The 13,586-nt window shown below is 42.7% G+C and overlaps 1 protein-coding gene across 69 annotated transcripts in view, besides 3 other annotated features; it reads right to left on the bottom strand.

Moving 5' to 3' along the window:
- CELF2 (CUGBP Elav-like family member 2) overlaps nucleotides 1–13,586 on the bottom strand; it is an 874,126-nt gene that overhangs the window by 156,738 nt on the left and 703,802 nt on the right.
- Nucleotides 918–1,212: an enhancer, noted in NCBI's record as "tiled region #4729; K562 Activating DNase matched - State 5:Enh". NCBI's record gives its function as "activates a minimal TATA promoter and a strong SV40 promoter by Sharpr-MPRA in K562 cells {active_cell/tissue: K562}" and the evidence as "EXISTENCE:reporter gene assay evidence [ECO:0000049][PMID:27701403]".
- Nucleotides 1,819–1,868: an enhancer, noted in NCBI's record as "active region_2994". NCBI's record gives its function as "activates an Ori minimal core promoter by ATAC-STARR-seq in GM12878 lymphoblastoid cells {active_cell/tissue: GM12878}" and the evidence as "EXISTENCE:reporter gene assay evidence [ECO:0000049][PMID:35858748]".
- Nucleotides 3,959–4,048: an enhancer, noted in NCBI's record as "active region_2993". NCBI's record gives its function as "activates an Ori minimal core promoter by ATAC-STARR-seq in GM12878 lymphoblastoid cells {active_cell/tissue: GM12878}" and the evidence as "EXISTENCE:reporter gene assay evidence [ECO:0000049][PMID:35858748]".

Here is a 13,586-nt window from a genome sequence, read left to right as displayed (position 1 = left end):
ATTTTGAGAACTAGGGCTGAGTGTGACTGTTACCTGACACCACGTAAGCTTTGCTAATTTAAGACCTGATTTTCAGCATGCACCTGGCAACACTCTATACGAGCTGGACAACTCTGACCCTCCTTCCCCCTGTTTGTACAATGCAGTTGTTCTTAACCTTTATAGGATCACAGAGCCTTCAGGGGGGAAAGAAAAGAAGACTGTCACAGGCTCTCTCCCCAACACAGGCACACGCACACACATACCCTCATGTTCCTCACTCCATTCCATCATGCCCCAGTAGTCATCTTTGTATTCCTGGGATGCGGCACACTGCCTGGCACGTAGGGTTCTCAACACATGTCCTAAGAATGAATACAAGCATGTCTCTGCTCCACAGAATAGTAACTGTAAAAATGGGTAAGTTAGTGGTGGATCAGAGAGAGGTAGCATTTACTTCATTCGTTCAATCTGCAGCTACTTTTCAATGGCTATTCCATGTCAGGCACCGAGCTAGGCACGCAAATTTCAGAGACACACAAGATACAGTCCTTCAGCAAGCGATGTAAACTCAAAGGACTTCTGATCTTTATTTGCATAAAGATACTTAAGAAAATAAGCGTCATAAATTCTAAAAGATTTTCAAAGTGTGCGTGGAGCTTTGATTTTTTTTTTTTAACAGTACAGTATTACGTGCCTATTTTTATTTGAATGAATGCCAGGAAAGAAAATGGGAGACTAAGTTGTCTTCTGAACTCCATTTACAATATTAGGGCTTAGATTTAAGGTCATATGGAACACACATGGCTTAGGTAAAAGAAGCGAAAGCATTAAAAATTACTCCGAAGGATGTGTTGGATTTCAAGACTTGATCAGCAATTTTCCCTGGGATTATCAGCTTTGCTTAAAATATCACTTAATCTTTGTCTCAGGCTCCTTTTCTGTGAAATGGGGGCAATGTTCCTGGGGGTGTGGAGGAAGTGGCCAGAGGGCAAGAGAGGATGCAGTGTGGTTTAACGGTTTCCTGACTTTGAAGTGTTCTAAAAATACAGCATTTTCATCGCAAACATGTGATGGAGTATGTGTCAGCACAGCATTCTGTGTTGCTAGGGCAGCCCGACCAATGGGTTTTCATAGACTCACTCAGCTCTGCGGCTAATGCAGGGGGAGAAAGCCACAGAGCGATAGGCCCCACTCTTATCTCCTGAGCATTCTAGCCGTCTGGAAGACATGTGGCAGGCCCTCCAAAGACTGATTAGTCTAGGTTAAACAATCAAACTCTGCCATTTGACGAAGACTCTTCTTTTCGCCTCTTAAGCTGTCACACATTTATTTGCCTTGGAGTTTAATCTGTGGCATAAAAGCCTGACATGTCCCACTTAAAAAACTATACTCCTAAGTACAGATTAGAGCACAATTAGGTAGAGAGGAAAGCCTAAAATATACGATTACAAAAGTGTGTCTTTAATTTATTCATTACCTTTCCCCAAGTCTTTTTCTTCCTTCACAGAGATTAGAGCAAAGCCTTGGCTCTCGGAAGCACTTCCTTTGCAGGGAGTGGGCCTGGTGGAAGGGCCCCGTGTTTGCCACCTCTAGAGCTGAATACACCCTGTGCTGGACTTGCAGAACAGCTAAGAGCCAGCGCCACCTGGCAGCTGTATGGTGGCCTGTGTAAAACGGACTGGTGGTCACCGTCCAGTTCCCATTAGACAGATGTCCACTTCACAAAGGGAGCATCACACTCAGCAGCCCGGTTGGCAAAGGGGAGCGAGGACTGGGCACAGAACGCGCATTTCCTCTTTGCGCCGAACCAGGTTGCCTACTCCATAACGCTGACGCAGGCCAGGGCATGTGGCAGGTAGCATGGCTGCAGCTGTGGCCGCAGCGTTTCATGTGTAGGGATCTGACCTCTTTGCAAACACCTGAAACCCTCTTTTCAGATGTCGTCTCCTTTATCCTACCAGGCAGTCACGCTGTTCCAATCTAGGCTGCGGCTTACTGAGCCTCACAGGGGCTGTCTTCTAAGGCCACCACCAGGACATACTGGCTTCACCCAGAGAGTGACGGGCACTGCAACTGCCTACAACACTCTCCGCAGCCTCCACCATGGGGTTAGGGAGAATGCTTTGGGAATGGGAGGCAGAGAAAGGCCCTCCTCACCCGCTCCTGAGTTCATGGCATCTTCACCCCAAATCAACAAGCAATTGTTGAATCCTGAACAGAAAGGACAAAATGGTCCCTTATTACAAAACCTAACTTTCTACTGGAGAAGCCTTGACTATCTTACAGAGGATTTAAAAACTAAGGCCCCTATTTCCTTCTTTGCTGTTGAGGTACTTCATGCTGTCTGGAACGTGAAACCAGGCTGGTCTGTTTTCTCCCTGACTCATGGAAATGCAAAGGAAAAGTCCATTTCCAGCACTGCAGGGAAGTGTACAAATTAAGCAACATTTCTTCACTGATTTTTCTTAATTCATGCCAACATTTTGGTTCATATCCTCCTTTTAATAACCTAATTTTCTCTTTTTTTTTTTTTTAATTCACACATGCAAACATAAGCCAACAAAATACAAACACCCAAGGTAAGCTAACCTGACTTGAAGGAGTATATTTAAGAAGCAACACAGAAAGTAAAAAAATAAGGAGACTTTTATTTCTTTCATCATGCTGCATTAACTACATGAGAAGGAACTTACTCAGAATTGCTATTAATTTTAATACCTCCCTACTAAACATTCTGTGTAGGGGATGCCTTAGTAATGTGAATTTTTTAGAAAGGGGTGTTTTTTAGAGAGGGGGATTTATGAAAGCTAGTATTAACATGTTTACTTCCTTTTCTAAGTTGCGAGTCTTCTAATAACCACCTTAACAATACTTCGTCCAAATGAGCCACCCTATATAGGCTTCTGCAACCAGTGGTGATTCCAGGAAGGGTGCAGGGGTGAGAAGGAACCAGCGTCTCACTGAAATAACCTTCCTGCCAATGGTTAGCGCAGGATGCTTAGACATTCTGCATTAAAGTGAGCAAGCTTCCTCCTCCACTGGCCACAGAACACCACTCTAACGCTAACCCACCATCTTCAAAACTGAGTGTAGCTTGCAGTACAAGAGGCTATGTAAAAGCGGATGAAGGAACTGGGATAAACATTGAAAAAATTACCCAAAAGTAACGCCTTGTTGATGGTAGTTTACTCACACTGTCAACTTTGAACAAAGCACACAGAAAGGTCTCTCTGTGGCAGAGAGAACATCTGAAAGCATCTGCATCTGTACTGTTTTCTAGTCCATCTAGTCTACACTACCTAGCAGCCTTTATTCAGTTTCCACCATATGCCAGGCGCTGTCCTAGGCAACTTACATTCAACATTTTATAAGCAATGCCACACCCATTCGAAAACAAATGGCAAAGAAACAAATTAACTTTGGGCTATTGCAAAGTTTAAAATACACGTCAGAGTTCCACACACATACATACATGTCTCCTGTGATGGTTAACACTATCAGTCACTCTTTGGTGCCAAGGGGATTTTGATCCATCAGGTAGGGGCTGGCAGCTCTTCCTCAGGACCCTACACCAAACACCATTACAAGGAAAAGGGTACGAGGACCCGCTTGATGCAATGCTGATGGCTTCGTTATGCTAATAAGAGGACTGTACATTTTCTGTCCTTGGATTTAATGGAGAACCCTCAGAAAGGCTCATCAGTGAAACTTTAGCCTCTTCTTGTCCTAAACTCCCTATAGGGAGGGGAACCAAATGAAGACAAAGGGGAAAAAGGGGAAAGAGGAGATACGGGCATGTAACCGAAAGGAAAAAACGTCAGACGTGTACCATCACATGGCCTTGGTTCCTCTAATGTTCTCTCACTTCATCTTTATTATATGAATAGCACAGGATGATCACGCTCTCTAGCGCATTCTCTGCTAAACAGAAAACACACGCGCACAAGAACACACATGCATGCATGTGTGCAACGGACATGGCTAACCCGAAACTGGTTTTACATTTCGAGGTAATTGTGGCTCTCCTCTCTTTACTACAGACAATTCTTTCTCTCCTTCTGGGGCAAAGAACATGGCTTGCTCATCTTTATGTTCTCAGCACTGAGAATGATGCCTTGCACACAGTAGGCACCCAGAAGCATCTACTGCCACATGACTGGTGCTTTGGTAAACACTGTGTCAGCTGCCGGCACCACATTTTTCATCGTTTCTGTTCTATATTCAGTTCAACATTAAAACGGTCCCAGGGCTTTGAAGGGTACCCTAACCTCAACTCATTGTTACAAAAGGGCTCTGCATTAAGCCTATGTGAGAGCTGACCGGAGGCCCCCTCCTGGGGACTGCTGGGTGAGCTGCCCCACCATCTCCTTAACTTTTGTAACATGCTCTAAGTTCACCACCTCGTCTCTGTAAAAGTTTGGCTCAAACTCTACATGTTGCCTGCTGTTCCAACATTTTAAACATCAGCAGCAGTATCCCAGGGTTTAGCATTAATTGAAAGAACTTATCTATATATAGCTTCACTCTGCACTTTAGCGTCTTCAAAACTTCAATCATATTCTCTCTTTTTTTTGAGAACACAATCCCTCCTTTTAATGTCTTGCTACAGCCTTTCCCCCTTTTCAATCTCATGACTCAATGCTCTGAGGTCTTTTAAGTTAACCTCCTAGACCTTTCCATGTGGGCTCACCTTCCCGGACCTTTGCGATTCATGCTGCTCTCCCTTGGAACTCCTCCATCTCCTTGATATCCTTCAAAAACGTTTCCCAATATCAGGTACAGTGGCCTAGTTAGGAGCTAAAAAGCTTTCTGTGAAAAGTGGTGGATTACCTGTTCCGTAACACTTGGTGTCTGGTGCATCACTGGGAACGTTTAGCATTTGGGGCGGGGGGGCAGACTTTAAACATGTTAATACTAGCTTTCATAAATATCCCTCTCTAAAAAACACCCCTTTCTAAAAAATTCAGATTACTAAGGCATCCCCTACACAGAATGTTTAGTAGGGAGGTATTAAAATTGATAGCAATTCTGAGTAAGGCCTTGTTTCCTCTGCTCCTCCCCCTCCCTGATGTTTGCGTTATTTCTTTACTTGACTAGGATGCAGTTCCCATTAAACTATAGTAGTTTGGGAAGGATTTTTTCCCCAAAAGCTAAAAAGGCAACAAAATAGCAGCAATTCATGAACTTAGTAAATGCAGACAAAGCTGGAAGACTACTATAAAGAGACAGGTTTTGACCCACATGCGGGTAAAGCTGCAGAATTTGTCCTACATAAGCAATAAAGCCCAACATATTTTATAATGATCAGATGGTGGGTCAGTTAAATAGTGTGGTGAGTAAATATTCTCTCAGCCCTTTAATTCTTCTCCCTAATTCCTATTTATGATCTTCCAGTAGAAATAGAGAAATTATATTCCTTTATTCTTCAAACTGATCACTGTCCAGAGTGTATCTTATGGGTTTCTCCAATGTGAATTAATACCTGAATGTGGATACTGGATTAGAAACATGTCTGTCACTTACATAGAGAATGAAAAGAATACTGATCCAAAATACCAATTCCTGCAGTGTTTCCAAGGCCATCTCCACTGTCTGACCCATTGGCTTTACCATTACAGCATTCCCCAGTGTAGCTAACTAGCCCCTTTTTCCATTTACAGCAAAACTTTCTTCTCTGCTTGCCATTTGTGTGTGTGTGTTTGTCTATGTGATTCAGGCTTTGACAAATTCCTGTACAGCATAATCCACCAGCTCACACATGCCTTTTTTTCCTGCATTCCTTTCTCTGTAACAAAGACTCATCAAGGCAAATGTAGAAACATTTGAAGACATATTTGAAGACCTTGATTCTTTAACATAGGTAAGAGCTCTAGTTCACTACAAATTTCCTTAGTATTATACCTAATATACATCACTCAGATAACCTCATGTCTGACTGATTCCCCACGGAATTTCTCAGTATGGGTCGGAACATCTTCAATTCTCCCGACTGTCTCAGAACCCAACACATTATCGTCATCATTTCTATTTTCAGAATATATAAACCTATGTCAATCTGTCGCTAAATCATCTTATTTTAGCCTAGTTTCCACTTTTTCCCTTTTGGTCAATTATCTTTCCAGCCCTTCTTAGGTTCCAATGGTTTCGAAGATCATAATGATTATTCTGTACTTATTCATGGCTGTACGCTCTGGCATGCCTGTGAGCTGTTCTCGTAAAAGGTTTGGCCCACCCAATATTAGATAATGAAGCAGGAGAATGGATGGCCTCAGAATCAGTGAAATTATGATGAGGTTAGAATCTGGGGCTGTATGTCCAAGGATGAAAATTCAGTCTTTTAAGAATCTACTAACATAAGATACAAAAAGCAGTACTAATTATGCTAGTGGTGTTTCACGTTTCACCATGGTTGGAATTATTCAAGATAATAAACTTCTTCAAAAGGTATGTCATGATTTTTTAATTAATGCTAGAATTCTGAACACTTCTAAAATACAACTTAACTATGGTTAATTTTAAACTTTCATTAGAAGCAGAGTGTGAAGGAGGCAGCAAGTAAACCTTTCAACCCGAATGCCTGATTATCTGGGGTCTCTGGAGCGAAAGCAAGGAAAGGCAGGTAGGTCACGCTAAGGCAGCTCTGAGGCAATGTGTGTGAGTTTCAGAGTAACTAACAGCGTCACCCTGTTGACAACACCTCTCCTTCTGGCCAGGAAACTGGACTTGTCCCCTCCAAAGGACTGGTTGCCTAATGCCCCCACGGTATGGTAGCCCAGAGTGGTACAACTGGGTGACTGATGGTAAGACATCTCTAGTGGGGAGCTATCTCTTTCTTGCTGGCTGCAAATAAAAAGGCAAGTGAGGCTTCTAGACAGGCAGCCTAGACAGGCAGCCTAGACATGCACTCAGTGGCAAATGCAAATTGTGAGATCACCTAGACTTCACTTTTTCAATCTACCTGCAATACGTGCTGGAGGGATTGAAACAGAAGCCTAGAAACCCTGGGTTTTCTTTTCATGTCACATTTCTACCAAAGAAGTCTGTTCTCCTTTCATCCAGCGCCTGTTTTCTTTATTCTTCTGCTACTTTAATTCCAGAAAAGCAAAGCTACTGGGGAAAAGACGACTGGGGACTAGCTGAAGTCTTAATGCCCCAGACAGAAGAGAAGAAAACAAAATGGTTAAAAGCGGCCAGGAGTAATTTCTTTTCTTCTTTGATATTAGCTCGCTCTGTCGGTCTTTTTTGTCTCCCTCCTTCCCCTTCTTCCTCCTTTTCTCTCCAGAGATATAAGGATCAAAACGTACCCATGATAGGTATTATCTGCCAGGGCAGACGCTGCCCTTTGATAGAAGTCACAGAAATTCAGCACTGTGACCGACGGGCACAGTCTCGGCATCACCAGAGTATGGGGCATTTAAAGGGATTCCTTCTTCCTGTAACTTAAAGGAGGCTTATTTAACCTTTGTCCCTGGCTTTATCTCAATCAGCACAATGGCTAGAGTCAGTATCAGTAAAAATATTTTAAAATTGCATTTCATAAAATGAATTGTTATATCTTTTAATATAGCTGTATGATGTAGGCAGTGAAGCCACCTTTCACAAAGATGTGACAAGGATCCTCCGCTTGCATGAATCTAAAAATTCTGACTGCATTTTATGTTTGTCCCATAGGTCGTCGGTCAGCCAACAATGAAAGGATGTCACAGTAAGTAACACAGAGCCTTCTGTTAACATAACATTAATTCAGGATGAGATGCCCTTCCTGTGGGCCACTGAGGCAGCACCAAAACTGGGGCTGTCCCAGAAAATCTAGGGCAGCAACCCTGCTTTTCAAGAAATGTAGGACAGAAATCCCATTCCCTACTTGCATGCGTTAAAATGTAGTGTAGGTTCATCTTCCTGCAGTTTGAATTCTTTCTCAATTCCTGATTTCAAGATAACATTGCTTAAATAAACGGGCTCCCAGGTCCACTTCTATTACTTAAGTGAACTTTCGGACATGTTTTTAGGAAGAAAGGAAAGGCATGAAACATGAAAATGACCCTCCCCACTCCAGTCCTCCATAAAGCGGCCAAAGGCATTCCTTACAAACCTTTAACATTTTAAAGAAGAAACAAATGGTTTGTAAGATGATCAACCCGCTTTAGACCATGCCAGCAGCACTCACACATTTGTTACCTTAGTGAATATGTAAAGCAACTTGTGAAGTGGGTATTATTTCTACTGCATGGATAAAGAAAGCAAGGCTCATTCTCTGCATGAGCTGGTCATGATAAGTACCAGTACTAAGTCCTCTTCCCCAGGGCCTACCCTCACTCTACCATGGCACAGAAGAAACTTCTGGATTTAGGGCTACCTTCGGGCCAATTCTGAAATAAGTAAAGTTAGTCTTTGGTGTCTTTATGCTTCTGTTCCTGTTTCCTTCTTCCTGTTCATTCCCCAGCAGTCTGGTCTGATTCTCAAGAAACTTTTCCATTGTACTGAACTAGAGAGAGATTGAGACAAACTAAGATTTTACTAACGACTTCCTGAAGGCTGAAGTAAAGCCTTTAAGATGGAAAGAAACAACTCATCATCCTATTCGAAGATCAGTCGGGCCAGCCCCAGTGTAACCCTCACTGCAGCCTGACCAAGACGAGGCTGAAACAGCAAGAGCATCTAACCCACACAAAAGCTGCTCTTGTGAAACTTAAGGTAATAACTCTTCCCAAAGAAGCCATGAATACAATTTCTGATCCATCCAGAAAGCTCTGGCTTGCAGTACTGTTGCGATGCAGTTGCACAGCAGTTATGCCATGACCTCCCAACATACTGCAAGAAAAAAGGAAGTTTTTTCCTTTGGTACGTAGTGATAGTCAACAAAAGCCACTTCCCTTTTCTATTTCTCTTTGAGCTGAGAAGTTGCCAAAAGAGACCAGTAAAATGTGATCAACAAGACATTTGGTTAGGACTGAGGTGCTGTTCCTACCTTCTAATCTCAAATGCCAAGTGATTTTAATCTATCACTCGGTTTTCACTTCCATAAAATCAGAATGACAGTACCTAACCATTTAAGTTTAGAAAAATGTAAAGTGTTCATTATAGAACACGCTTTCTCAGAGTGCTATGATTTGGGATTGTAACTTTGATTAACTAACACATTACGAGAGCGATGATCCAAAGCACATAATTTATCTACTGATTCTAGGTTCCAAGTATGGTCTCGCTTGAACACACTTTCCATATCTGCCAACTTCTCCCATTGAACATCAACTGCCAACCCTTCAACTCCTCCTCCTCCACCTCCTGGACCAGGAGCTGTCTTTCAGCATTGCCGGCTTCCTTACTTCAGACCTCCGAGAGAACTTCCTAGCATATCTGCTACCCTTCCTGGCCTTCTACGATGCCTTCTTGAACATCTCCAACTCTGGGTTCTCTATGACTCTGTATCTTTCCTCACTCAGGGATAAACAGTCCACAACCATCAGGGCCCACTCCAGATGGACATGATCTAAGTGTGACCGGCCTCTCCCTGCTCTTCAACAGTTTTACCACTCTTTCCATTCAATTTCCCAAAGCAGTCATTTCAAACCTTTTCCATTCCTTTTAAGTCTTCAATTCATTGGGACTTCAGAAATTTCCTATTTACTGAGAAGTCTGAGGGCAGGCGCTTGTACGAAGTGTCTCCTATTTCTGAAACTTTGTGTTGTTACTCCTTCCTGAATGCCCCTCTGTCTCAAATGAAGTATCTTTCCACTCTTTCACAGACCTGAGGCAGAGTCATCTCTACCTTACACTTTGACAATCTCCTTTGCTGTACAACTTATCATTTGCTGAACAAACAAACTGCATGTCTAAGCTTCCTCTCCCTTCATGCCAGACTACTAGAAAGGCACATCTACACTCAGCACCATGTATACATCCATGCATTTCCTTTCCCCACAACCTCTATCCTTCTTCTGAAATACTCTTGGGTCCTCCCAGTCACCAAATCCCATGGTTTTTCTTGGCCTGCATCCTTCTTGACTCTTCTGTGACACTGCAGACTCAACTCAATCAAAACTGAACTTAATGCTCTTCTCCTCCATTCCCACCACTGCTGACTGTGCTCACAATCCTCCCAGTTAAGCCAAAGCCTCCTGGTCTTCACTGAGCCCAATTTAGTTATCAAGTCCTCTTCCTTCCACTGTCCGTCTGTCCCTCAGCCTCCCCTTCCATTCCCATGACAGACGACATCCTGACCTCAACACACGTCAACACACTGCATCAGCCTCTGAGCCTCTTGTTGCTAAAATATTCCTAGAGTCTCGAGAGTCTAACAAAGGAATTTTAAATCCTTCAGCCTGGGAAGGAAGGCTTGCTAAGAGCTGCTCTAGCCTATAGCTCTAGGCTTTGTGGCCTTCCCTTCTCTACTTCATGTCACGTATTTCCCATTTCCTCTGAACTGTGGGAGAATTCACAGTTCCCAGAAATTGCCCTGCACTTCCGCACCTGCATGCCTGAAGCAGGCCAGTCCATCCATTTGTAATGTTCACCATCATTATTTACTGAAATCCTAAGACTGTTTTCAAGATTTGGTAAAGATGCCATCTTTTTCATCTCCCATAAGCTGCGACTTATTCATTTCCTCGCTCAACTTCCATGGTTCCAGTAAGCCCATCTCTTTCTTACTCATTTACTCTTAGCTCATGTTCTTTTGTATGAGAGTTACCTGTGGACCTGCCTTCTTGTCCCTTTTAGAGTTTACGTTCTTGGAGACATTGATGGAGATAATAACAACAACTATGATCATCATGACTGCCATAACCAGCTCCTACTGTATCCTAGCTCTGTGGAGAGCACATCACCTCATCACACAGCAACACTACAAGGACTGCCTCCACTTTAAGATGTGATTAAGTAACATGCCCAAGGCCCGTAGCAAAGAAGCAGTAGAGCCAGAAATTAAATTTAGGGTTCTCCAATTTCAGAAGCCATGTTCTTAACTCTCTGTGGTATTGCTCACCATCTACAGACCAAACAGATGAACCCTGAATAAAACACACTTTTCCAAAGTCCTCATGTGGGAGAGAGTTTACTGAGCCAGAGTCCCCAGAGTTACTCAGCCTGCTTGGTCAATACATGCCCCTACAGTGAGAATATAGGTATCTCAGGCTCGAACCCTGAAAGGATGATTTCACAAGTATGACCAAGTCTTTGTGTCTCACGACTAAACAGAAGATGAAATGGAAAGTGAGGGGGAAAATCTAATTCACCAGGATTATTAGGTAACAGCCTGACTGTCTCTTTGCCTGGGACCATCAACACGGGTAAGGCAATGAATCAAGGCCTCTCCAAAAGCCTCACTCACATAACCCAAACCACCTCCAGTAATTCTAGTTTCTGAGGCTCTGATATCAGCCCTGTGAAAACATGATAATTGTACTCTGCCGACAAAGTCTGAATCAAAGTAAATGTGAGGTCTTATTTTACATGTAAACAGGCAAAATAATAATGGCATGCATAGGTATCAACATGAATAAAGTGGGGGCTGTTGCTCTCTCTAGGTAAGCGGCTAAGGGCTGTAATCCTCTGAGAGCAATGTCATTATACAGCTCAAATCCCATCACAACAAATACCTTCACAACAGAGATGTCTGTATAACAAAAGCTCTTTCAAGCTTTGGCTGACAGCCCACATACTTTAAGGAATATTTGATGTGAGACTTGGAGTTCACAGTAATGGGAATTGACCTGTATTTCCAAAGGTAAGATTTGAATGATTTCATCTCTAACTCCTACCCCATGATATCATGGGGTGGGAATGATGTACAATCTAAACACCTGAGTATAAAAACTAAACACAAAGACAGAAATGAAATCAACTCATTCTTCAAGAATGAAATTTCTTCCTTTCACTTGGGGAACACTTAAGTAAAGGAGACTGCCCCTGACCCAGGCCCTGAAACACAGCACACCAGGGCTACTCTGCCATCTCATCTCATGAAGACGCAAAATGGTGTAGTCCATGAAGACAGATGGACCATGTCCGAATCTCCACTCTGTCACTTAACAGCTGGGCAAACGGGGCTATGTTTCTTAACTTCTTATAAGCCTCAGTTTCCTCATCTGTAAAATGTGACTACCACCACCTACCTTCTGGATTTTGGTAAGGACAAAATGAGGACACATGTAAAGCTCCTGACACAGGGTCTGAGATACATAGCACGTGCTCAAAAAAACTTCCCTCATCAGGCCTCCCTTCTTCTGCAGCCCCACGGGCTTCTGCAAACTATTTTCGCCAAATTAGTAATCAGGCACAGTGAACAGAAGTTAACAAAATGTATAGTATCAAATATAGGCTGGTAAAAAATGCTGCTCATAGGAACATCTGGGCAAGAGAGAGACAATGGGAGAATAACTAGGCCACACATAGGTACTTACCTGACTGGGAAAAAGGACTTTTTGGCCAAGGTAAGATACATGTATTCCATGGCTGAAAGTCCCGGAACCAGGCATCATAACAGTAAGTGAGCTCTGACCATTATGTCAAAGGTAACTTTTAAAAATGCTGATAAACCAAAATTTGGAGTCGCATTTTCCTTGTCAAGGATGAATTGTGGTTATTTCTCTAAAGCATAGTTTACTGCCTCTGGTCTAGTTTTCCCTAGGTGACAGTCTGGCTGGTGAGAGAGCCCTTATTTGGTGATTTTTAAATTTATTAATTTTTTTAGCTCTAGCCTATTGTCTTTCCTCAATAGCATACCATGGAAGTATTAAAACAAACTCTAGTCTTCTCCATTTGGAAAACATGTAGGTAACCAGTATCAGAATATGTCCAATAAAGGTATTTAATATTGCGCTCATTTGTGAAGTTTAAAAATCTACAGATTCTCAGTTATCTGATCTTTCTACGTCTCAAATAATGAGGCAATCAAGTTTGTGGTGACAACATTCTATGTGCTTTTTGAAACAACCTTGCTACTACGTTTGGAAAACTAGAGTGTTATGAACACACTCCGAAGACACGCATGTCCACCTTTCTAAAACGAGTACTGGCCAGGGGCTCTTCAGTTCCTTAAGAGGCTTCCAAAGCCCTGCCAGACCCTGGCAACAACAGGGAACAAGAGGAACAGCCCAAAATTTCTCGGAGTCACAGAATGTCAGTCTTAAAGATTTCCTAGTTCTATCATTTCACCTTGCCAGTAAGGAAAAGGGTTAGAGAAAAGTATGTGCCAATATGTTCGTGTGCCCAACCGAAGTGTATACACAAGCCAAGTGATGCTTTCAGAGGTCTTAGGAGAAGCAATATAGAAATAAAATAACATGCCAGACAGAAACACCAAGGCACAGAGCAAAAGAAACTGTGAGGCCCGCAGAACAACAGAGAGGACTCCTCAGTAGAGAGACTGAGAGATCAACAACAGAGAAAGAAGAAAAAATTACTAAAGCAAAAACGTTAAAACAGCAACAGAGACCAAGTGGTAGCAGCAGAGTAGATATTTTAAATTCAGTCTGCAAAGAGCTTACAAAGTAAGACTCCAGGGCATAGAAGCATCACACTCCTCACAATGGTTTCTGGGTCTCTATCTCATTAATGGCACCCACTGCCCCCCATCACCGTCATCTTAAAATGGAGGCAGTAAC

The sequence above is a fragment of the Homo sapiens genome, chromosome 10, assembly GCF_000001405.40.
Source record: "Homo sapiens chromosome 10, GRCh38.p14 Primary Assembly".
Lineage (NCBI taxonomy): Eukaryota > Metazoa > Chordata > Mammalia > Primates > Hominidae > Homo > Homo sapiens.
The sequence above is the reverse complement of the archived record's forward strand: the minus strand, read 5'-3'. Positions and strand labels throughout refer to the sequence as shown.